General features: G+C 49.7%; 1 protein-coding gene across 3 annotated transcripts in view, besides 2 other annotated features; it reads right to left on the bottom strand.

Annotated features, from left to right (window-relative positions):
* The window catches only part of USP20 (ubiquitin specific peptidase 20), a 46,371-nt gene that overhangs the window by 13,290 nt on the left and 8,273 nt on the right, over positions 1-24,808 (bottom strand). For all 3 annotated transcript variants that reach the window (NM_001008563.5, NM_006676.8, NM_001110303.4), the window contains exons 2-11: positions 18,615-18,726; positions 15,903-15,999; positions 12,179-12,232; positions 10,427-10,489; positions 9,941-10,072; positions 7,506-7,602; positions 6,927-6,996; positions 5,240-5,353; positions 3,158-3,236; positions 90-534 (exon numbers count right to left, since the gene is read on the bottom strand). In NM_001008563.5, the coding sequence (NP_001008563.2) occupies positions 90-534; positions 3,158-3,236; positions 5,240-5,353; positions 6,927-6,996; positions 7,506-7,602; positions 9,941-10,072; positions 10,427-10,489; positions 12,179-12,232; positions 15,903-15,983 (1,135 nt within the window). In that variant the 5' untranslated portion in view covers positions 15,984-15,999; positions 18,615-18,726. The remainder of the gene's footprint in view (positions 1-89; positions 535-3,157; positions 3,237-5,239; positions 5,354-6,926; positions 6,997-7,505; positions 7,603-9,940; positions 10,073-10,426; positions 10,490-12,178; positions 12,233-15,902; positions 16,000-18,614; positions 18,727-24,808) is intronic.
* Positions 3,315-3,609: a silencer, noted in NCBI's record as "tiled region #12255; HepG2 Repressive non-DNase unmatched - State 23:Low". NCBI's record gives its function as "represses a minimal TATA promoter and a strong SV40 promoter by Sharpr-MPRA in HepG2 cells {active_cell/tissue: HepG2}" and the evidence as "EXISTENCE:reporter gene assay evidence [ECO:0000049][PMID:27701403]".
* Positions 5,154-5,323: an enhancer, noted in NCBI's record as "active region_29123". NCBI's record gives its function as "activates an Ori minimal core promoter by ATAC-STARR-seq in GM12878 lymphoblastoid cells {active_cell/tissue: GM12878}" and the evidence as "EXISTENCE:reporter gene assay evidence [ECO:0000049][PMID:35858748]".

The following is a 24,808-nucleotide window of genomic DNA, read 5'->3' as shown; positions in this document are numbered from 1 at the left end:
CCGGGGGCTACTGCAGGTCGGCGCTCAGCACCCGGTAGGTACTGGGCCATAGGCTGAGGTTCCTCCCGCAGTCCCCGGCCAGCTGATACCTGGCGTCCGGCAGGGGCTGGAGGACCGTGGTGACGGGGGCTGGGCCTCCGCGGGCTGGTCGTCAAGGGCAGCCATGGCAGTGTCCACATCAGCGTCCTCGTCCACTTGCTCCGAGTTTGTACGCTGCTGGCCCCAGGAGAACTTGCGGTCCTTCATCCGCTCCTTCTCAGAGATGGCTCGGCCCGCCTCATCTGGGATCAGCAGCTCCGTCTCGGCCTGCGAGCTGCCCCCGCCACGCCCCTGCCCGTCACCCTCACCCCGGTCACTGCTCGAGTCACAGGACAAGAACTCATCTTCTGATGGGCTCCGGTCACCCTCCCGTTTCTCATCCGTGTCACTCGAATCTGAGTCCCGAGCCTCCGTCAGCGCCACCGTGGCCACCACCGGCTCCTTGAGCTCCTCGTGCAGCTGGTCCATCAGGCAGCGAAGGAACTCTTGGGTGTCCTAGAACCAGGGGCTGCATCAACAGGGCTCCCCTGGAGGCAGGAGGAACCAGTCTCCAGCGCCCTGTGGCTGATGAGAGCGCCAGCCTCCATCTAGGAGGACCTCATGGGCGCCCCCTGCAGAAGAGTTGCTCACCCCCACAGCGGCCTCCCATGGCAGTCTGTCCTAACCCCATTCTTCTGAGGATAACAGTGAGGACTGGAGAGGCTAAAGGACACCTACCAGGACACACAGCTAGAAAGTGTCAGAGCCAGGTATGCACCTGGGTCCATGCAACTCCCCGGCTCCGGCTCTGAATCTCCTGCCTCTGCTGCAAGCTCAGCACGGGAGGGACAGAGAGGCAGTACCACATTAAGCCCGAGCCACCTTTCTCCCTACAGATGAGACCAGTGGAGGTGGGCAGGGGGGTGGCGGAAGGATGAGGGAGTGTGATGCCAAAAGAGGACTCACCCGAGTCCTGCCCCAAGCCACGCTACCCACAGGCCAGACTGCCTGCATGCTCTACCCTTCCTCTGGCTCCCCCTGCTCCCTCAGTCCCTGTGCCAGCCCCCACATACCCTCACTGCCTGCTCTCACCTTCCCACAGACCTGGTCATGACTCAGTCTAAGCTGCCCCTGCAGGCTGCCTGGGTCTCAAATCCCAGCAATGACCATTTTATCCTGACCACTCTGTGACTGGGCCACCAGCACAGCAGGAAGCCAAGGCAGCAGGGGCTCGGGCAGAGGCGCCCAGTGAGCCCCACTGAGATCTGTGTGCTCACACAGGGGGTGCACTGGGAGGTCAGAACGTGGTGGTGGCAGCAGACCCCAGCAGCTAGCGGGTGCTCGGGTGGTGCTGGGCATTGGAGAAGGACTTGGGTTCCGAGCCCAAATCAGCCCCAGCAGTCCCTGACCTGGTTGTTAGAAGCAGCCCTCAGCCCAGGCTCTGATCCCCAGGAGGCAGGGGTCACGTAGCAGCCAGAGCCAGCCTCATGTCACACATCTGGGAAGAGGATCCCGGCTCTCTCCACTCATGTGCAGGGAAGGGAGGGCTCAGGAGGGACTCCCCAAGGCAAAGTGTCAGGCTCCAAGATCAGAGGAATGAACCACGAGGTTACATTGCATCAGGGAGGGGACACGTGTCCTGTGGCAGGCACGATCAAAGGCCCTTTCAAGAAGAGGCTTTCAATCTGCCATCTACTTCTCTTTCTGGTTCTTCCTTTCAACAAAAGTACTATGTGTTCCTTGCCAAAATCTCAATCCATGCAGAAGCACAAAAGAGTCTTTTGGCCCTTAAGAGGCGCCCGCAGCTGCGTCTACAGTTCAGCCTCAGAAGTGTCCCCACACGATATCCTAAAACCACAGAAAGGGATGCTTCTGCCGGAGCCCAGATGGAGTCCTGCCGCAGCGCATGGCCCTCCGTAACGGCATCCTGACCCAGAGCTGAAAGCCGGCAGGGCGCCTTGCACACAGTCAGGGTGGTGCTGTGCTGAGGGATGGGCTCAGGTAGGCCTGAATGCCATCTCTGCCAGGATGTGCTGTGTGACCTGGGTGAGGGGTAGAACCTCTCTGAGCCTCAGCTCTTTACCTGTAACGTGTGGGTGACAACAGTGCCCACTTTGTGAGACTTCTATGAGGACTAAGTTGTGACCACTTAAATGGTGCTCAGTGAATTTTAGTCATTGTGCATGTTATCACTCCCCAAAAAGAGAGGTGTCCAGGCAGTGCTGAGCTTCTCAAGCAGGAGCCAAAGGCCCAGCAGACTTCATCCTGGGACGGGACAGCAGGCAGGGGGTAGAGGGCGGAAGTTGTCCCCACATGACTGCCACTCCGTCCATGGTGCTCATTTCAGGCAGCACAAGAGGTGACCCAGCCAGGTCCAGCTCTGCCTGCAGGCCTGGCATGAAAGCCCAGGCTGTGGGCCATCTGGGGCAGGAGGCTGGAGGGCAGGAGCCATCAGCCCGGGGCTGAGGTGTACGCGTGGCTGCACTCTGTCTTGGTCTCATTATTTTATAAAATAGAAAAATGTGATTGGTTTCAAAAGGGTTCTCTAGATTTAAAAAAAATTTTTAATCAAACTTTTTACTTTAATAAAAGTGAAATTTTGCCTGTGGTTTGGGGAAATGAAACCCTGTGTCATTTTGGGTGCAACGCGGAGGCCCTGCAGCAAGGTTGCCTGGGTTCAAATCTCCCCTCCGCCGGGTGCAGTGGCTCATGCCTATAATCACAGCACTTTCGGAGCCTGAGGTGGGACGACTGCTTGAGCCCGGGAGGTCGAGGGTGCAGTAAGCCATGACTGCACCACTGCACTCCAGCCTGGGTGACAGAGTGAGACCCTGTACCCACCCTCCCCCACAAAAAAAAGAATTCCCCTCCACCATTTACTAGCTGTGTGGCCTGTGCAAGTGGCTCGGCCCCTGAACCTCAGTCTGTCCATCTGTGAAGTGGGGTTAAATGTCAGCAGGTTGCTGGGAGGCTCCACTGTCCTCACACGTGTGAAGGGCTTAGGAGTGAGAGCCTGGTCCGTGAGACCTGCCAACCAGTGCTCAGCTGCCATTGCGATTTTCCACTCTGGTTTTGGCGTCAAAGTCAGGCCTGGTGGGTCATGGCCTTGGGTGTCCCCTGGGCAGCTCAGATGGCTTACCTGCTGGGCATAGCCTCGGAACATTGGGTTGACCAACTTGATCCCATGAGACAGACTGGTGGGGACCACGTAGCTTGGCCTGTAGGAAGCCCAAACCCATTAGTCCAGGTAGCCTGCCTTGAGCTGCTCATTCCCGAGAGAAGCAGGCAGCCAGCCCGTCAGGCTGGATCAGAGTGTGGCGTTTCCTGACATTTGGGGAGGGGCCTACTCAGCCAGGAGCCCCAAGAGGCTCACACATCTCTACAGACAAGAAGAAAATGTCAAGTCATAGCTGCCTCAATTAAGCAAAGAGCTCAAATAAAATAGCATCATTTCCTTCTGGTGCACAACAAACTCGCCTAAACATGATTTGTTTTCATTCTGAAACACTTACTGTGGTTTTCTCATTTCAAAAGTAAGACATGTTCATTATTGACAAATCTAAAATTTCAGAAAAGTACAAGAGAAAAACACCACCACCAATGGCACCAGATACTTACCATTAGATTTCTGGTTCTGTGAAACTACAGATGCATATACAAAAATACATACAGATACACATTTAAACTTGGCTTCTTACACAAGCGGAATTATATTGTACCATGCTGGGTTTTTTTTTTTTTTTTTTTGGGACAGAGTCTTGCTCTGTTTCCCAGGCTAGAGTGCAGTGGCATGATCTTGGCTTGCTGCAACCTCCGCCTCCCGAGTTCAAGTGATTCTCCTGTCTCAGCCTCCCAAAGTGCTGGGAATACAGGTGCGCGCCACCATGCCCAGCTAATTTTTGTATTTTTAGTAGAGACGGGGTTTCACCACATTGGCCAGGCTGGTCTCGAACTCCTGACCTTGCGATCCACCCGCCTCGGCCTCCCAAAGTACTGGGATTACAGGAGTGAGCCACTGCACACAGACTTTTTTTTTTTTTTTTTTTTTTTTGAGACAGGGTCTCACTCTGTCGCCCAGGCTGAAGTGCAATGGCATGATCAAGCTCACTGCAGCCTGCCTCAACTTCCTGGACTCAAGCGATCCTCCCACCTCAGCCTCCTGAGTAGCTGGGACCACAAGTGCTCACACCACACTCAGCTAATTTTGTAGTTTTTGTAGAGGCGGGGTCTTGCTGTGTTGTCCAGGCCGGTCTCAAACTCCTAGGCTCAAATGATTCTCCTGCCTCGGCCTCCCAAAGTGCTGGATTTACAGGTGTCAGTGACTGCATCTGGCCCCACGCTGGTTTTTAATCTGCTTCTACATTTAATACATATTTCTCCCATGCTGGTTTGTTTTGTTTTTGTTTTTTTTTTTTTGAGACAGAGTCTCGCTTTGTCAACAGGCTGGAGTGCAGTGGTGCGATCTCGGCTCACTGCCACCTCCGCCTCCCAGGTTCAAGTGATTCTCCTGCCTCAGCCTCCCGAGTAGCTGGGACTACAGGCACACGCCACCACACCCAGCTAATTTTTGTATTTTTATTAGACACGGGGTTTCACCATGTTGGCCAGAACGGTCTCGATCTCTTGACCTCGTGATCCACCTGCCTCAGCCTCTCAAAGTGCAGGGATTACAGGCGTGAGCCACTGCGCCTGGCCCTACGCTGGTTTTTCATCCGCTTCTACACATAATACATATTTCTATGTGCTCATTTAAAATTATTCCCAACTTTGACTTTTCCTGGAGAAACAGATCTAATCACAGACTCTGATCTTTAAATTAATTTCATACTGTGCCAGAAGCTCCATCCAGTCTGTGCTCCCCTGCCCCACACCTCCTTCTACACACACAGTCCTGGCTGAGGCCGGGTCACCATGTCTCTTGGCAAAGACATCTACCAGTGGCTGCTCGGTAGGGTCAACAGTAGGTCAAATTCTAGCTCACTTTTTGCAGGTTCTATGACCTTGAGCAAGATACTTAAAGTGCTCTGCACCTCAGTTTCCCTATTTGTAAAACAGGACTGGATGCAATTTCCACCCCGCAGGCTTGCTGCAAGCATTACCCGGGACAAAGTGAGGCAAGTCCTCGCTGGGGGCTGAATCCACAGGAAGTACTCAATCATGGGTGCTGACAGGAAACCCCAGTCCCCACACACCGCCCAAGGCTAGGGATGCAGCTGCTCACCGTTTCTTATGCCAGACCTCAGAGACCAGCTTCTGGTAGCTCTTGCACAGGGCTGGCTTCTTATCTGTGCGCACCAGGCCGCCACACTCCAAGAAGAACTGAGTCAGCGGCGGGCTGGGTGCAGGGGAGAGAGAGCCAGGTCAGGAGAGCAAATGAGGCATGCGGCAGTTTAGAAAGGGCTGCATAGCGGGGAGCCCTGAGTGCTCGCACAGGGAGCACAGTGGCCCTGGACCCAGAAACTCCTGAAGGTGACTAGAAGGCTCCTACCAGTTATGAGAAAATTGTATCCTCCAAAATTCATCTGCGAAGCCCTAACTCCCAGAGACAGGGCATTTTTATTTTATCTCATCTTATCTATCTTACCTTATTTTTTTATTATTATTATTATTATTTTGAAACAGAGTCTCCCTCTGTTGCCCAGGCTGGAGTCCAGTGGTGCAATCTTGGTTCATTGCAACCTCTGCCTCCCGGGTTCAAGTGCTTCTCCTGCCTTAGCCTCCCGAGTAGCTGGGATTACAGGCACATGCCACAATGCCTGGCTAATTTTTTTGTATTTTTAGTAGAGACAGGCTCTACTAGTTGGCCAGGCTGGTCTTGAACTCCTGACCTCAGGCGATCCACTTGCCTTGACCTCCCAAAGTGCTGGGATTACAGGCGTAAGCCACGGTGCCCAGCCAAGACAGGGCCTTTAAAGAGGTTATTAAAGTTAAAACGGATTGGGTGCGGTCAATTTTTCTTTTTTTTTTTGAGACGGAGTCTCGCTCTGTCACCCAGGCTGGAATGCAATGGCATGATCTCAGCTCACTGCAACCTCCGCCTCCCGGGTTCAAGCGATTCTCCTGCCTCAGCCTCCCCAGTAGCTGGGACTACAGGTGCGTGCCACCACGTCCAGCTAGTTTTTTGTATTTTTAGTAGAGACAGGGTTTCACCATGTTAGCCAGAATGGTCTCTATCTCCTGACCTGGTGATCCATCTGCCTCGGCCTACCAAAGTGCTGGGATTACAGGCGTGGGCTACTGCGCCCAGCCTGGGTGTGGTCAATTATTAACAATAATTGACCTGCATCCTGCCACCTGAGGATAGTTACTAGGAACATTTTGGGACATAGCCTTCCAGACTTTTCTACGCATTTGTACCCATTCCCTCTCTGCTTCCCGCATACATATACTGCATCTCTAACCTCCACTGGGTAGGAGAAGCACGTCAGACACAGGAGACATCCTTGGCCTCATGGAGCTCACAGCCTTATCCTTAATGGAAAATCGCATTTCTCCCATAAAACGGGATTGTACCATGCAATGCTTTATAACCTCCTTTTTCCCCCACTCACCAGATTCTGAACCCCTTCTTGTTTCAATGCATGTTGTCTTGTGCCATTTTTCCTGCACTTGCTGCAAGGGCTATGAGAATTTATACTCTCTTGCAGATGGGCCTTTAAATCATTTCCAGTAAACAACAGAGCACTGAGCCTCCTTGCACGTACAACTTCCCCAGCATCTCCGGTTATCTCCTCAGGATACATTCTGACTGGGAGGATTGCTGGGTCAAAGGGTATACATGCTTTCAGGCATTTTGCTGTGCATCCTATACATGTGTTTGTGGGCAACCGGCTGGGGGCTGCTACTGCTGCTGTTTCCGGGGCTTTGCCAGGGACAGCTCTCGGCCCTCGGACAAAGTGTCGACCTACCAATTGGACAGGGCCTGCAGGGCAGCGTTCATGTAGCAGGAGTTCCCGAGGTTCTTCATGCCCGTGAGGCCTGGGAAATAAACACAACGGGGAGGAGCAGGTGAGCACCCTGCCCCACCGAGGAAACCTTGCAAGTCACATTTGGCACAAAGGTGTGGCTCTCAACTGCCCAAGACCCAAGAAGAGGACATGGTGGAAGCGTTCCACCCCAGGAATCTTCCCAGTAAACTAACGTGGTTCCTGCTCACAACAGCTGCGGTTACCTGAGTGTTTTAAACAGATGAACTCCTTTGCCCCTCCGCCCAGCCAGGCCCACTGTCCAGACCATACAGCAGAGGGGTCGGCCTGCCCAGGGTCACCCAGCTGGGAGAGGGGACAAGATAGCCAGCTCTCCAGAACCTTAGCTAGGCCAGCCAACTTCTGGGGTGAAGCCACCATGCTAAACAGCTTATCCGTCACCCCATCCTTCCTTGCCCATATAGCAGGTGCAAATAGAGACCAAGACTCTGGCGGTTTCCAGCCTCCAGATGAGGGCCCCCAGCCCAGCCCATCAGCTTCCCCTGCTGTGGGGGCCATTACCTCGAGGTTTCAGGTCATCGTCCTCTGACTCAGACTCTCCTTCATCAGCCACAGCAATAGGAACAGCTTTCAGAGGGTGGGAGGGTGGCGGGGAGTCCTGTGTTAAAGACCCAAAGTGAGGAAAACAGTGAACAGAGGGGCTGGGGTCAGAGGCCCAGGTGTCTCCCAAGGGCTGGAAGTCCAGCCCTACTGCCCGGAAGGCCCTACTGGGCTGAGCCAGTCCAGCTGAGCAGAAGGTACTGTGAAAAGAGATAGGATTGGTGGCCTTGCCCTGGGAACTCCTTGATTTGTGTGTGTCTGTGTTTTTTTAGAGACAGGGTCTTGCTTTGTCACCCAGGCTGGAGTGCAGTGGCACAATCAGAGCTCACTGCTGACTCCAACTTCTGGGCTCAAGGGATCCTCCCACCTCGCCCTTCTCAGTAGCTGAGACTACAGGTGCATGCACAGCACCCAGCTAACCTTTTTATATTGCCCAGGCTGGTCTCAAACTACTGGGCTCCAGTGATCCTCCCAAAGTGTTAGGATAACATGAGCCACTGTGTCCAGATGTTGACTTGCATTTTTTTATTGGCAATAAAAAAAATATTTTATTTATAATAAATTTGGAGAAAAATAGAAACATAAACATGCAACCCCATTTTCCTGAGAGAACTGCTGTTAATAGTCTGTATGTATCTTATGTAGACGTTTTTTTTTTTCTTTTTGAGACAGAGTCTCGCTCTGTTGCCCAGGCTGGAGTGCAATGGTGCAATCTTGGCTCACTGCAAGCTCCGCCTCCCAGGTTCATGCCATTCTCCTGCCTCAGCCTCCTGACTAGCTGGGACTACAGGTGCCCGCTACTATGCCTGACTAATTTTTTGTATTTTTAGTAGAGACGGGGTTTCACCGTGTTAGCCAGGATGGTCTCGATCTCCTGACCTCGTGATCTGCCCGCCTCGGCCTCCCAAAGTGCTGGGATTACAGGAATGAGCCACCGCGCCTGGGCTATGTGGACTTTTTTTAAGAGATAGAGTCTTGCTCGTCGCCCAGGCTGGAGTGCAGTAGCACAACTATAGCTCACTGCAACCTTGAACTCCCGGGCTCAAGTGATCCTCCCACCTCAGCCTCCCAAGTAGCTGGGATTACAAGCATGCGCCACCATGCCTAGCTAATTTTATTTTTTGTAGAGACAGGGTCTCACGCTGTTGCCCAGGCTGGTCTCAAACTCCTGGGCTCAAGCGATCCTCCTGCCTTGGCCCAGCAAAGGGCTGGGATTACAGGCATTAGCCATGGCGCCCAGCCTGTATTATACAGACTTTTAACTGTTAATACACATGCACAACAAAAACAAGATATTGCATATACTGTTTTATAGCCTTTTCTATAAAAATTCATAAATATCTACCAAGTTCACAAATGCATTCAATAAGCATTTTGAGCAATATTGAGCCCTATCATGTGACTGTCTAAACAGAAGGAGAGGCCAGGTGCGGTGGCTCCTGCCTGTAATCCCAGCACTTTGGGAGGCCAAGGCAGGCGGATCACTTGAGGTCAGGAGTTCAAGACCAGCCTAGTCAACATGGCAAAACCCTGACTCTACTAAAAATATGAAAATTAGCCAGGCATGGTCGTGGGCGCCTGTAATCCCAGCTACTCAGGAGGTTGAGGCAGGACAATCAGTTGAACCCAGGAGGCAGAGGTTGTAGTGAGATGAGATTGCACCACTGCATTCCAGCCTGAGCAACAGAGCGAGACTCGGTCTCAAAAAATTAAAATAAAATAAAATAAAATAAAATAAATGGAGGAGAGAGCCATGCAGATGCTGCACACATGTCCTGGCTTCTCCTCTAGCAGGCAGCTCTGCCATCCAGGATTACTGACCATTCCCTGAGGACACACCTGGGGCCGGGCCCTCCAGGTCACAGGCTTGCTGACCTGCCATCTCTAAGGTTGCACAGCACACTGTTGATCAAAGGACCATTCTCTGGTTGACGTTACCCAGGTGGTTTCTGGGCATTTCCCATAGAGAAGTGTGCTGTAGCAACTACCTGGAATTCCCTTAGGAATGGTTTCAGATCTGGGATGGCCAGAGGGCCATCTGTGACCTTGTCAACCCTCTCCATAAGGCCTGGAAGGGTCTACACTCACCTCATGGCCCTGGGCCCACCCCAACCCCTGCACTCCACACGGCCACCCCATGGTCTCCGAGCTCCTCAAGGGAGGCCCTACTCTCAGTCACCTCTGCACCCTCATGGTCTCACACATGCCTCGGCACAGAGTTGGGCTCAGTGAGCATGTGCTGATGTGAGCTCCTCAAAGTCACCTGAAAACATACTGACCCAGAAACAGACACCTCTGGGACCTACTGCCCCATGCTCCACGGATGCTCAGGTCACACTGCCTCATCCTCAACACAGTGTCACCAACAACCAAACAGAGCCCACCACACAGGTTACCTGTTCAGAGAACTTGGAAGAGGAGCCCAGCAGAGGGGCTGCCAGCCGCTGCTCCAGGAATACCTCCTTCTCACAGGCGTAACACCACAGTCGGAACGTGGTCAGGTTCACGGTCAAGTTGTGCTTTTTTGCCTAGAGGGTGATATCCAAAACAAGGTCCAGGGCACTCTAGCCTAACAAGTGCCCCAACCTGTAATGGCTGCTCCGCTCCCCAGCCTCTCAGTAAGAGGCCCTGTCAGGACAGAGGCCGGAAGCTCAAATTTTGCTTACCCACCCCCAGTCAGGACCCTGAGGGCTGCTGCTTATCAAATGGTGCAGATGCAAAATGTTTTTACCTGCATTCTCTCTTGCTTCTTTGCAGAAGCTATGCTAGGATGACACCATTTATTGCCCCAGCCATTTAGGCCCAGAGTGGGAAGGTGGAGCTGGGGTTTGAACCCCAGGCCATCTAACTGCAGGGCCCATACTCTCAGCCACCACACTCACCTGTGCATGAATGGTGCTGTGGTCAGCAAAGGATTCTCCGCAGCCAACATAGGGGCAGGCAACCTGGGAAGAGAGGGAAGGAGAGTGGACTGGAGCTTGCCAAAAGGATGGTGTCAACACAGTGTCTCTGGTTCCATCCCAAAGTCAGTGCCCCTACCTCTCCTGAATAGGGGCCACAAGGGACTGAGGCTCTGCCATCTCAAAGGAACACGGGTCTGTAGGTCTGTACACCTGAAGTTCTGCTGGGCAGTGATGGACAGTAAACAGCGTCCCTGCCCTCTGAGTGAGACGAGCAGTATGCCCTGGGCTGCTGCTCTCCAGCAAGAAGCCCAGGCGGGGTCCCAGCTGGGGCCTGGCTGCTCGGGACCAAGACCCTCTCCCTCCACAAAAACCCCATGTGAAGTGGGGTCAGTTATTGGGACCTGTGTTTTTGGTGGGGATCCTAGGCCTCACAGCCATTTTCTAATGGGGGATGATGAATGGGGACCAGGTGTTTGAAACAAGGGTCACAGGTAGTGGGAACCCAGTACTGACCCAGTGCCCCAGAGCAGGGCCCACATGCCCCTGATGACACTGCCTTTGCCCTCGCACTCTCCTATCCCAAATCTACCCATCCTCCAAGGCCCGCTCAGTGCTTCCACTGTGAGCCTCCACGCCAGCCAGTAGCCAATGCCATACTCCTACAGGAGCGCCTGCTGTCACTGCCACCTGTGATCAGCAGGGCCTTCTGGGAAAACAATGGAATCATATCATGTGGCTGACTCAGAAAGCACGTGCCATTTTCTGCATCAGGCTCCTACATCTGTCTGAGGGGACTGTGGCTCCTATGAGGTAGGACCACGTCCTGCACTTGTAACAGCCCAGGAGATAACATCTAGCCCTTCTTGCTGCCCCCTGGATACGCAGTGTCTTGCCATCTACTTTGTGCTGAGTGACAGGGCTGAGCAGAAGAGGCCAGAATCCCACTGGAGGCCCCTGCACTTCTGCAAAGACTGACTGGCTGTCTTCACTCGCTGCTGCTGTCTTTGTTGTTTTTACTCGTGGGTTTTTTTTTTTAAAGAAATTTTAAGTAACAGTCATTTTTAGTATGACTATAAAAATACATACTTGGAAACATTTTTTAAATACTACAGAGAAAAAAAGAAAATTACCCATAATTCTACCACTCAGAGGAAACTGTCATGTTTTCATACATCTACTTTTACTCTTTTTAGTAACCAGTAATCACCCAAACCCTTCCAGCTTCTCCCGGACACTGTCTCCTGGCCAGTCACAGGCATCCGTCTTGTCCAGTTCTACCCTAACCCCATGAGGCGGGGACGGTTGTCAGCTGTCAGTGTTGCAGCCCCTTTCTTATAGATGGGTAATGAAGGTTCAGGGAAAAAATGAGACTGGCCCAGGTAGAGACGCTGCTGAGCAGCAGTGCCAGGCCTCAAAGCCAAGACACCCACGTTGACTCACACATATTCATGCCAAGCTAGAATACTGTCCTATGAAGAAGGGAGCCTTCAGTCTAGAGCCTTCTCCGACCTATTTTTTTCTCCTGTCATTTTTAATTGCTGCCAGAATGGCCAGCCCAGGATTCGCTGACTTTGGAGTCCTGTGCCCCTGTGCCCCAGCCCAAGGTTTCTGGCAGTGCCCACTAGGGATGGAAGTTCCCAGCCCAGAGTCTAGCCCACTGCACCAGCCTGTGCAGTGCTGATAACAGGTGGAAGCAGCTCTACACCCCTGATGGCCACAAGGGTCTTTTACCTGCAGACAGGCCCATAGGTTTGGTCCGGTGACCCCACACGACTGACAGGTTCCCTGTGTGAGTTGAGAGGAGAGAAAAAGAGCAGGCATGAGGAGCCCGTTGCGGGGCTGAGCACTGAGACTGCTCCTGCCTGGAGGGCCCCACCTGGCTGACATGCACTCAGAAGGTCTCAGCTTCAAGCCCTGGCCCCAGAAAGGCCTTCGCCAGACTTCCTGTCCAAATTAGGCTCCCAGGGGAGCACTTTATACTTTACTGTTTGAATTCTATCCTGTGCCTGTAAAAACATTTTCAAATCAACATTTTATGATTTTAGTGTCTATAACCTAATCTTGGAAAATAAAATCATGTAAGAGACTCGTTAACACGCTCTCTTCCCACCCCTTACTCTTCCTTTCTTGCACTGAATTATTTCAGCCTTTCTCCCCATTAGACAAGGGCGCCATGAAAGAGGGATGGTCTGTTCTGCCTACCCCTGTGAGTTCACAGGGCCTGGTATAAATGAAGAGTTCACTAGACCTGGCAAACCCCAGGAAACGCCCAGGTTTCTGGCGGTCTGGGCGTCAAAGCCTGCTCCGTGTCTACTGGAATCCTTTCTCTCCTCCTTGCTTTAACAATGGGATGCATGGATTTTAGCTGAACACACAGCTAGCCTGCTGCAGATGACGTTTTCCAGCTTCCACCATGATCATGTGGCTCAGTTCTAGTCAAACTAGCAAAAACGATGTGTGCCACTTCTGTGCTGTGTGCTACCCTTGCTCTTTCTCCTCCTACCATTGGCTGGAATGTGGATGTGATGGCAGGAGCTGAAGCAACCACCTTGGACTCAGGATGAAAGCCACATGTTGAGAATGGCAGAGCTACCCTACCAGTCCTACCTACCTGTGGTCTGTTCTGTGAGAGAAAAGAAACTTCTTTTTTTTTTTTGTTTTGAGATGGAGTCTCGCTCTGTCACCCAGGCTGGAGTGCAGTGGTGCAATCTCGGCTCACTGCAAACTCCGCCTCCGGGGTTCACGCCATTCTCCTGCCTTAGCCTCCCAAGTAGCTGGGACTACAGGCACCCACCACCTCGCCCGGCTAATTTTTTGTATTATTAGTAGAGATGGGATTTCACCATGTTAGCCAGGATGGCCTCGATCTCCTGACCTCATGATCCACCCGCCTTGGCCTCCCAAAGTGCTGGGATTACAGGCGTGAGCCACCGTGCCCAGCCCACTGAGTTCTTTACACACTGCTCACATAATCCCCTCCAGTCTCTGTAGCAGGGCCCAGCAACATCCCCCTTTCACTGATGAGAAACTGGGACTCAGAGAGGTCACACCCTTGTCACAGAGCAAGGTCAGCAGGTGAAGCCAGTGAGCCTGGACCCCAGTGCAGCAAGGTCACAAACCTCTCACCAAGAAAGCCTGGCTTCCCCCAGGGTGGCCATGTTGGCTCCCAGGCCTCCATGGCCTCCTTCTCATTGTCACTACACCCAGATTCCAGCTGTGTTTGTAAAAAGCCTGAACATGGGGTTGAAGTGAAGCAGCTTGTCCCATACGATGAAGCTGAGATCTGCACTCTGTGGTTTAGGGTCTCTCACGGAGGATGCTGTGGGTGCCAGGAGATCAGTCTGCTTAGCAGACTCAAAACCGCAGCCCCAAACCTTCCTGAATTTGTCATCTCTCTCATGATTTTTTGACTTCACAATTCACCCTCCTCTTCCCAGTTTTTTTTCCATTTCAGTTATTTGATTTATAAAAGTATCGAATGCTTGCTATAACAATTCAGATGACATCTATATGCTGTGTATGATATGAAATATTTCCCTCCGTACATTCTTCTTACATAAAACACGTATGCCTGGATCTTGAGGGGGTGATTTTTAGTAAAAATAAGATCATGCAATACATATTTCTCTGTAATGTGCCTTTGAGGGTCACCCAAGTCTGTACATGAAGACTTCATTCCTCTGTGATAACTGCACACTCTGGACACACCATAATTGATTCCCCCATTCCTTTCTTGAGGAATATTCAGGTGCCACCAGTTTTTCCCTTTTATAAATAACGCTCAATAAATACTGCTGTATCATATGTTTATAACTGGTGATTACATTTCTACTGGATAAATTCCCAGAAGCAGAATTGTTTCCCTAAAAGTTACGGTAATTCCTAGCCCTACCACAACGTGAGTGGCCCATTTTCTCCATAACTGTCAGCTATGAATGGGATCAGTCTCTTTCCGCCCATCTGCAAAATGGTATCATCCTATTTCATTAGCAATATCCATAAGAATGAGAGTGAAGTCAGCCATCTTTTTCAGAAAGTTTCTTGTCATTTCTACCTCTTTTACTGGGAAGGACCTGCTCATATCCTTGCTCTTTCTGAGTATTTTAGAACGGTGTTGGTTTTATTTTGTAACTTTCTGGATACCCAAAGAGGAGCTGAAGTTGTGATCTCTGACACACAGCCCCAGAGCACCCCAGACAAGCCCAGTCTCTGATCTAGAGGCACTAACAGGCTTCTGAACGGCTGCCAGGCCCAGTGCAAACCTTCCTGTGCTCCACCTCTCTTCTGCCACCTGCTTCATCCCCCCCCTGCTCTCAGATTCCCTAAGAAGTGGAGAGAAACCCAGCACCAGACAGTGCAAACACATCCGGGCCTCACTCTGCCCCACTTCATGCTGCAAGAGGCAAAGTCACTTCAAAAGCAGCTATAGGCACTATGAAGAACTGCTCCCATGCCAGGCCCCATGACAAAACCAGCTCAGGCCAAAGGCCACCAAGGACCTGCTGGTGCAGCGAGGCCAGGCGACCAGCATTAGGTGCCAATATGCCCAGGAATCCCACTCCTGGGAACATGCCTGCATGCAGCTCTGCCCATGGATGCAATGACTTTTCTACAAGGCCATTCATCGCAGCATCATGTGTATCGGCAAGAGGCTGCAAAGGGTCCAGGTGTCCACCCAGAGAGCATCAGTCACTGTGGCCACATGATGAAATATGATGCAGCTTCAAGGTAACAAATGTGAAAGCTGTCTCTATGCACTGATGTCCAAAGAGCTCCAAGATACACTGTCATGTGAATAAAGCAAGTTACAAAACAGAGAGGATCGTATACCATCTTTTATGTAAGAAAGGGCAAAACTTAAAATGAGTTTATCTGCTTGTATTCACATAAAGAAACTGAAAAGATACAAAAGAGAATAAGTGCTTACCCGGGGGTGGGCTGGGGAGGGTGGGCACAGGGGTGAGAGAAGGACTTCTTGACATTTATCTTTTTGTCCTGTTTCATTTGTAACCCTGTTCAAGTATTACCTTTTCAAAAATTTTCATTTCACAACACCAAAAGGATGGCAACACATCCTCCTACTCTGAGAAGAGGCCCAGCTTCCTGCTCAGGCTTCCCTGAGCCCTCCTGGAGCCACCTGTGTAAAAACGCTCCTGAACTTGGAAAGCAGCATTCATTCCCTGCCTTGGAGAGGCTCTGTGCACCGCCCCAACAGCTAATGGACAGAGAGCATTAGTGGTTCCCAAATGGCCTTGTCTAAACTATAATTAATGGCTATTAGGACAGAGCCTCCGGAAGGCGGCCTCCCAAGCAGATGCCAGCATTTCCATTTACACAGAAAGCTGAGCAGAGACTGTCAGGGAACCAGTTTTTCCACTGCTTCAGAAATGTCCACACCCCAGGAAAGAGGCAGCCCTGGGTGTGGGCCCTGGCCCCGTAAGGTCTGACCCTTTACCTTAGATTTGAGCAGCAAGTCCTCTTTGGTCACCTCTCCTATGGAGTCAAGGTGAGGGCAAAGGTCCCTGGAGTCCCCCATCCTGGCCTGGGCTCACCTATGAGAAGACACAAGCAATCCCGGGTTAATGGCAGCCAGTGTTGGCAGGAGGTGGGGAGGTGAGTGGTTAAGTACATGACTTTGGCCTTGAGTCCTGGTCTGCCACAAACCAGCTGGTAACGCAGGGAAGTTGCTTAACCTCTCTGAGCATCACTTTCCTTGTCTAAGAAGATAACAGTTGCCCCAGTGGGTCGCTCCTAGGTCACGGAGACAATGTCTGTCAAATGCCTGGTGTAGTCCCTGATGTAGGGAAAGCCCATGGCAGGTGACAGGTGTAGTGATCAGAATTATTGGTAGGGAAGACATGGGAGTCCTGCATGCATGCAGGGAGCTGCACACCAGACAATCTAAAACCACAGATGTTTTGTTAGAGGAGGCCAAATCCATGTCCGTCCAAGGATACAGGCAGAGAAGGCGGCAGTGTAGAAAGGCTGGGTTTCAAAAAGGCAAGCAGCAGATGTTGACATAGGTCTTCTCAAGAGCCTCTGGAGGCCAAGTGCTGGCAGACCACTTATCCCACGTCTTGTGGGAGCCCCCTGCGGAGTGAGGTTTGAACACCAGACCACCATGGGAGCAGGCCATGCAGCACTGCCTCCAGAGAACGTCTTCTGAGAGCAGGGAGAAAGTCAGAGAGAAAGGCAGGAGAACAACCTAGAAAGCAGTCTGTGTTTGCCAAAACATCAGCAGTGGTGCAGCTGGGTGATGGGTTTCAAGAGATGGAAAAAAAAAAAGCTCTGTTGCTTCTGTCTAACTGATACACGTTCATTATAAAAACAAAACTCAAACAAGAAAGCACAAAGTAAAATAAATCACTGATAACAAGTAGCAAACATCTTTCCCAACATTCTCCTGCGTTTCTTTCCCTTTTAAATCAGGGGTATAAAAAGATATCTGTCTTAGAAAATAAATGCTTCCCTCAAGGGAGCACCTTGGTGAAGATGAACAGCTCTGTATCTTGAGTGTGGGGTGGTTACATGGATCTACACGTGTGTTAAAAGTGCAAATAACTGAACACACATGAGTGCCTACAGAACTAGTGAAATCTGAATAAGCTCCATGGATTATGCCAATGTCAGTTTACTGATTGTACTACAGACATACTAAGATGTATTATTAGCTGGGATGCTGGTGCATGCCTGTAGTCCCAGCTACTCAAGAGGCTGAGGTAGGAGATCATGTGAGCCCAGGAGTTCAAGGCTGCAGTGAGCCGTGACCATGCCACTGCACTCCAGCCTGGGTGACAGAGCAAGACCTCATCTCAAAAAAAAAAAAAAAAAAAGTATGTGTTATTCTTACCATTAGGGGAAACTGGGTGAAGGTACAAAGGACCTTAGGGTACATTTTTTGCAACTGCCTGTGAATCTATAATTATTTCAAAAGAAAACATTTAAAAATGAGTAACTAAATAAATGCTTCACCTACGGTATTTTAGCAGAATCAAATCCAGGAATCTGACTGCTGATTATAGCTTCAAACTGTTGCCAAATAAGGTCCAAACCAACCAAAGATGTAACTGGAGCCAAGACTGCTTTAACCAAAGGCAGAAGCCTCTGTGACTGCATGAGTCTTAAAAACAAAACAAAAGACTGGGTGCGGTGGCTCATGCCTGTAATCCTAGCACTTTGGGAGGCCGAGGCGGGCAGATCACCTGAGGTCAGGAGATCAAGACCAGCCTGACCAACATGGAGAAATCCCGTCTCTACTAAAAATACAAAATTAGCCGGGCATGATGCACAAGCCTATAATCCCAGCTACTCAGGAGGCTGAGGCAGGAGAATCGCTTGAACCCAGGAGGCGGAAGTTGTGGCAAGCCAACATCGTGCCATTGAACCGCAGCCTAGGCAACAAGAGCGCAACTCCATCCCAAAACACACACACACACACAAAAAACAAAAAACAAAGGCAGAAGCTGCATGTGTGCCCACCTGATCTGAGAGGTGGACCCCCAGACTCCTCCTTACGTGCCCCTCCCTGTCCCAAATGGTCAGCCAGGGTCAACTGGCCAGATTCTCATTCAGAACGTGAGTTACTAAAACTCATGAGGTGTCAGATACCAAACCAAGTGCTTTTTGTGCATTCGTTTATGAAAAACTCTTCCAGCAATCGTTGAGGCAGCTGTGATCAGCCCCATTTCACAGACTAAGGAACAGAGGCTCCTTCTTGTCTAAGGTCTCATAGGAATGTTGGCGCTAGAGCTGAACCTCAAGTGGGTCAGATCCTAAGGGCCCGCTCAGTTGCTTTCTAACTTATAGAAAATGTAAATGTGAAAAGCAGGCAGAACTTACCGTCACATTAAAGATGAGCATAAAGAAAAAAAAGGAAAAAACAAAGTAGACCAAACTATATAACGCACTTCCATGTTTCCATGTACCTAGACTCATCAATTAACAACTCATGGCCAATCTTGCTTCATCTCAACCTCCTGCTTCCTCTTGCTTTTGTAGCAAGTCCCAGACACACAGGCGATCACATTCCATCTGTATTTTTCTAAGAGATAAAGACTTAAAAAAAAAAACCCCATAATCACAATTCCATTCTTTCATCTAAAGAGAAAAATCCATGTGTCCTCCTCAGTCCGTGTTGAAGGGACCCGAGAGGAGGCCATGGGCTTACCTCTGGGTGACACGAAGCCCACAGGAAGCGGCCAGCATTCGCATCCTTTGTTGACAGCTGACAGCGACGGGCTATAGGGGTCTGGAGTGAGTGGAGGCCTCTGGCAAGGAGCCTGGGGGATGAACCAGAGCATTTCACACAGTTCTGTTATTATTACTTTTAAGACAGCCTCTTGCTCGCTTGCCCAGGCTGGAGTTGCAGTGGCATGATCACAGCTCACTGCAGCCTTGACCTTCTAGGCTCAAGCAATCCTCCCACCTCAACTTCCCAAGTAGCTGGGACTATAGGTGTGCACCACCACACCCACCTAATTTATTTAAAATTTCTTGTAGAGACAGGGTCTTGTTTTGTTGTCCAGGCTGGTCTTGAACTCCTGGGCTCAAGTAGTCCTCCCACCTCAGGCCTTCCAAAGTGCTGAGATTATAGGCGTGAGCCACTGTGCCCAGACAGTTCCGTTATTTTAAAATCACTCTTAGCACCAACTAGAAGCTAAAAAGGGCCCAGCATTCCTCCTGGGAGGAACTAATTTCAGGATATTGGGGATGTCCACAGGCTAGACTACTCCCTGTGCAGCCAGAGAGCAATACCACCACATCACTCCTGGGCCAGCTGGCCAAGGCTCAGGCAGAGCTGGCACGCAGGGGCAGCCCCTCCTAGGGAGTGCTGGCCTTCACTAGTCACTGCTGAGGCATTACCTTGGTGCTCCCCAGGAGGAAACCTGCACAGGTCTGCTGGAGGGGTCTACAGGGCCTCTCCTATTGTCCCATCAGGCTACCACAGTCCATCAACCCTCTGGACAGGAAGGCCTGGCCCCTTCCACACATGCCACCAGGCCCCTCAGGCCATCCTTTGAGCTCTCAGGGATTTCCTGAGAACCCCCGACCCTCAAGTGTTCAGCAGGCCCAGGCTGCAGGCACAACCGGGCTCATCCACACATTGCCACTACCCACACTTCACTGGCAGGTCACAGTTTCCCAGATGTGGACAGCTCAAAGAGGGAGAGGCAGTTAGAAGCTACCATTTAAAATAGTCACATGACAATGACAGCTTCAAGATTCCAAATTCCAAACCTCCTCACTTGAAGCCAGGTTTTTTAGTTTTCTTCATTGTTTCTGCTGAGGCCATGTGCCCTGAGTCGGCACTAGTCTTACACTATTTTAAGCTGCAGTGGTGTGGGTTTTGCTAGCATCTTTGGTAAGTGATCATCTCTCCAGTCGGGTGGCTGGGGAGGGAGTGGGCAGGTTATAACTTGGCCCATTCTTTTTTTTTTTTTTGAGATAGTCTCACTCTGCCGCTCAGGCTGGAGTACAGTGGCATGATCTTGGCTCACTGCAACTTCTGCCTCCCGGGTTCATGAAATTCTCCTGCCTCAGCCTCCTGAGTTGCTGGGATTACAGCTGTGTGCCACCATGCCCGGCTAATTTAACAGACTCACTCTTGATTTGCAAGTGCAATTGGACTTACATTCTTGCAACTTCAGAGAGAAAAATCAGCCCTGTGGCTAACAGCCCTCAATGTATTCTCACTACTCCCATTTTACAGATGAAGACACAGAATTGGAACTTAAGTAACTCAGGAACTTGGCAGAGGTCAATCACCTGGCTAGTTTTTTTTGTTTTGTTTTGCTTGAGATGGAGTTTCGCTCTTGTTGCCTAGGCTGGAGTGCAATGGTGCGATCTCAGCTCACCGCAACCTCCGCCTCCCGGGTTCAAGCAATTCTCTTGCCTCAGCCCCTTGAGTAGCTGGGATTCCAGGCATGCGCCACCATGCCCAGCTAATTTTATATTTTTAGTAGAGATGGAGTTTCTCCATGTTGGTCAGGCTGGTCTCAAACTCCTGACCTCAGGTGATCCGCCTGCCTCAGCCTCCCAAGTGCTGGGATTACAGGCGTGAGCCACCGTGCTCGGCCCACCTGGCTAGTTTGTAACAGGTGTGGCCCTGATCAGATCTGTGTGGTGCAGAGTCTTGCTCTAAATCATGAGTCGGATTTAGAGAAACATTAAACTGAGCAAAAAAAAAAAAAAAAATCAGATACAAAAACATATATACCATATGATTCTATTTATATAAAATTCCAAGACAGACAAAACTGATGATGATAGAAACTGGATCAGTGATTGCCTGGGGCAAAGGGGAGAGTTATGTTGCAGACAAGAAGGAACTTTCTGTGGTGTTGGAATGTTCTAGATCTTGTCTGGTGTGGGGTTTAATCAAGTGTATACACCTGTCAAATCGTGTGCACTGTATCTTTAAAGTGCGTGCATTTTATTATATGTAAATTATACCTCAATAAAGTTGATTAAAAGCATTTTAAATCAGAATGAGGCCAGGCACAGTGGCTCACACCTGTAATCCCAGCACTTTGGGAGGCTGAGGCGGGCGGATCATGAGATCAGGAGTTGGAGACCAGCCTGGCCAACATGGTGAAACCCTGTCTCAACTAAAAATACAAAATTTAGCTGAGTGTGGTGGGAAGCGCCTGTAATTCCAGCTACTCAGGAGGTTGAGGTGGAAGAATCACTTGAACCTGGGAGGCGGAGGCTGCAGTGAGCTGAGATCGCACCACTGCACTCCAGCCTGGGCGACAGAGCAAGACTCCATCTAAAAAAAAAAAAAAAAAAAAAAGTGTTGGCTGTTGGCGAGGGTGTGGATAAATTGGAGCCCTGTGCACTGTTGGTGGGAATGTGAAATGGTGCAGCTGCTGCAGAATGCAGTATGGCAGTTCCTCAAGAACTGTAAAATAGTACCACACTATTGAGCAATCCACATCTGGGTATACACCCAAATGCACTAAAAACGGCAACTCAAAGAAATATTTGTGCACCTATGTTCATAGCTGCATTATGTGCAACAGCCAAAAGACAATGCAAACCAAGTGCCCATCAATAGACAAAACATGATATACCCATACAATGAAATATGATTCAGCCTAAAAAGGGAAATTTTGACACACGCTACAACATGAACCCTAAAGACACCTACTCAGTAAAACAAGTCAGGCTGGGTATGGTGGTTCATGCCTGTAATCCCAACACTTTGGGAGGCTGAGGCAGGCGGATCACTTGAGGTCAGGAGTTTGAGACCAGCCTGGGCAACATGGTGAAACCTCGTTTCTACTAAAAATACAAAAATTAGCCGGGCGTGGTGGCGGGAGCCTGTATTCCCAGCTAGTAGGGAGGCTGAGGCAGGAGAATCGCTTGAACCTGGGAGGCAGAGGTTGCAATGAGCCAAGAAGATCGTGCCACTGCACTCCGGCCTGGGTGACAAGAGCAAAACTCCATCTTAAAAAAAAAAAAAAAAAAGACAGTAACTTCTCAGAAAATATTTGCTGAATGGCCCCAAAATACAAAGTTATAAAACACTATTAGGCCATGTTGGGCGGCTCATGCCTGTAATTCCAGCACTCTTGGAGGCCGAGGCAGGAGGACTGCTTGAGCCCAGGAGTTTGAGATCAGCCTGGGCAACATGGTGAAACCCCATCTCTACAAAAAATTTAAAAATTAGGTGGGCATGGTGGTGCACGCACCTGTAGTCCCAGCTACTCGGGAAGCTGTGATGGGAGGATGGCTGGAGCCCAGAAGTATGAGGCTGCAGTGAGCTATGATGGCACCACTGCATTCCAGCCTAGACAACAGGGTAAGACCCTATCTCAAAAAAAAAAAAAAAAAAAAAAAAAATATATATATATATATATATGGCTGGGCGCAGTGGCTCACGACTGTAACCCCAGCACTTTGGGAGGCCGAGGCGGGAGGACCATGAGGTCAGGAGATCAAGATCATCCTGGCTAACATGGTGAGACCCCGTCTCTACTAAAAGAAAATACAAAAAAATTGGCTGGGTGTGGTGGCGGACGCCTGTAGTCCCAGCTACTCGGGAGGCTGAGGCAGGAGAAAGGCATGAACCCAGGAGGCTGAGCTTGCAGTGAGCCGAGATCGCACCACTGCGCTCCAGCCTGGGCGACAGAGCGAGACTCTGTCTCAAAAAAAACAAAACACAAAACAAAACAAAAAAAACCTATTATTACAGTAAACTCTTATTTTGGTGAAATAATGTGTTTTAGGCCTAGAGAAAGGATGCTATCATCTTTTCTGGAGGATAGAGTCAAGTGATTTTTATTTCCTTTTTGCTTTTCTGCATTTTCTACAATGAACTTGTGTTGCCTTTTTTTTCTTCCTATACTTGCTTCCTGAATGACTGTGTTATAATCATTCTAATCTAATAATCTAATAAGGTCAGTCACAGTGGCTCACGCCTGTAATCCTAGTGCTTTTGGGAAGCTGAGGAGGGAGGATCCCTTAAGCTCAAGGCTGCAGTGAACTAGGATTGTGCCACTGCACTACAGCCTGGGCAACAGAGCAAGAACCCATCTCTAAAACAAAACCAAAATCAAAAAACAACAAAAAATGCTTTTCCTCTCAGAAGTCCCCTCTCTCACTAGAGAGAGAGCTGTTTTCCTTTCTTTCTTTTTCTTTTGCCTGTTAAACCTCTGCTCCTAAAAACAAAAACAAACCAAAAAAAATACCTAAATCGGTTACTGTTAATGGTTTTTCAAGTTTCCAAAATAAGAAAATAAGAAGAGTGTGCATCTGGCTTCCTAGGTATGTTGCTCTTCCCCAAACTCCTGAGGGCACCATAGGGGACAGAGCCTCTGTTCCCTGGAGCTCTCCAGGCCCCTGTGCCAGGCACTGCCCTGAGCCTACACAGGGTGGTTTTCAGAGAAGGGGTGGGAGCATCTGAGTGGTCCCAGAAGTCCCCAAAGCTGCTACCTGGATGGCTCCTAAGCACACTTCTCCAGGTGACTCACAGGGGCCAAGAAGTGCCCTCAACATGTGTTTTTTGTATTTTTATCTATTTATTTATTTAGAGACCAGGTTATGAGACTGGCTAATTTTTGTATTTTTGGTAGAGACAGGGTTTTGCCGTGTTGCCCAAGCTGGTCTTGAACTCCTGGGCTTAAGTGATCTGCCCACCTCCACCTCCCAAAGTGCTGGGATTACACACATGAGCCACCATGACCGGCCCTCTCAATATTCATTTTTGCCTCATTTACCTCCATGTTGTATTCAAATTTTTCATCTTCTCCTACTTGTCCTGAAAATTTTAAAGGCATTTTTGTCTGGTTTTCATAAATTTGATATATACCTTCATAGAAGCTGGAAACAGACACAGACATAAAATGAAATAAAAATCACCTGTAATCCTGCTGTACAGGAAAAAAAATATGGTTACCTTTTTGGTTTTGGTAAGTCTTATTTACATGTACGAATATATAATTTTTTTTTTTTTTTTTTTTTTTTTGAGACAGAGTCGCGCTCTGTCACCCAGGCTGGAGTGCAGTGGTGCGATCTCGACTGAACACACTCTCCACTTCAGGTTCAAGCCATCCTACCACCTCAGCCTCCCGAGTAGCTGGGATTACAGGCACACACTCCCACGCCTGGCTAATTTTTGTATTTTTTGTAGATATGGGGTTTCGTCATGTTGCCCAAGCTGGTCTCAAACTCCAGAGCTCAACCAATCCATCTGCCTGGGCCTCCCAAAGTGCTGGGATTACAGGCGTGAGCCACCATGCCCAACCAGATATATAAATTTTAAAAATAAACTGCAATATAACCAATAAATTTGTATACAGCTTTTTTTGGTTTATATATTTCTAATGTCACTAAATTTCTTTTCAGCTTCATTTCTAATAGGTGAATAATATTATACCACATATAATTTAAGCTATACAACCCCTTACTGAATTATTTATCCATCATAGGACGTGGTATTTTTGTATTTTGTGTATGTGTGTTTTGCCATTATAAAGAAGGCACTGAGAAACATTTTGGAATATGAATCTTTTGTTTTGCTTAAAGACAAGTCTCAATCTGTCACCCAGGCTGGAGTGCAATGGTGTGATCATGGTTCACTGCAGCCTCTACCTCCCTGGGCTCAGGTGATCCTCCTACCTCAGCCCCCCAAGTAGCTAGGACTACAGGCATGCACTACCAAGCCTGGCTACTTTTTAATTTTTCTTTTATAGAGACAGAGTTTTGCCATGATGCCCAGATTGGTCTGGAACTCCTGGGTTCAAGCAATCTGCCTGCCTTGGACTCCCAAAGTACTGGAACTACAGGTGTGAGCCACCAGGAATGTGAAACTTTGACTAAATCTTTTTGTTTTGTTTTGTTTTGTTTTTTTGAGATGGA

The sequence above is a fragment of the Homo sapiens genome, chromosome 9, assembly GCF_000001405.40.
Source record: "Homo sapiens chromosome 9, GRCh38.p14 Primary Assembly".
NCBI lineage: Eukaryota > Metazoa > Chordata > Mammalia > Primates > Hominidae > Homo > Homo sapiens.
The sequence above is the reverse complement of the archived record's forward strand: the minus strand, read 5'-3'. Positions and strand labels throughout refer to the sequence as shown.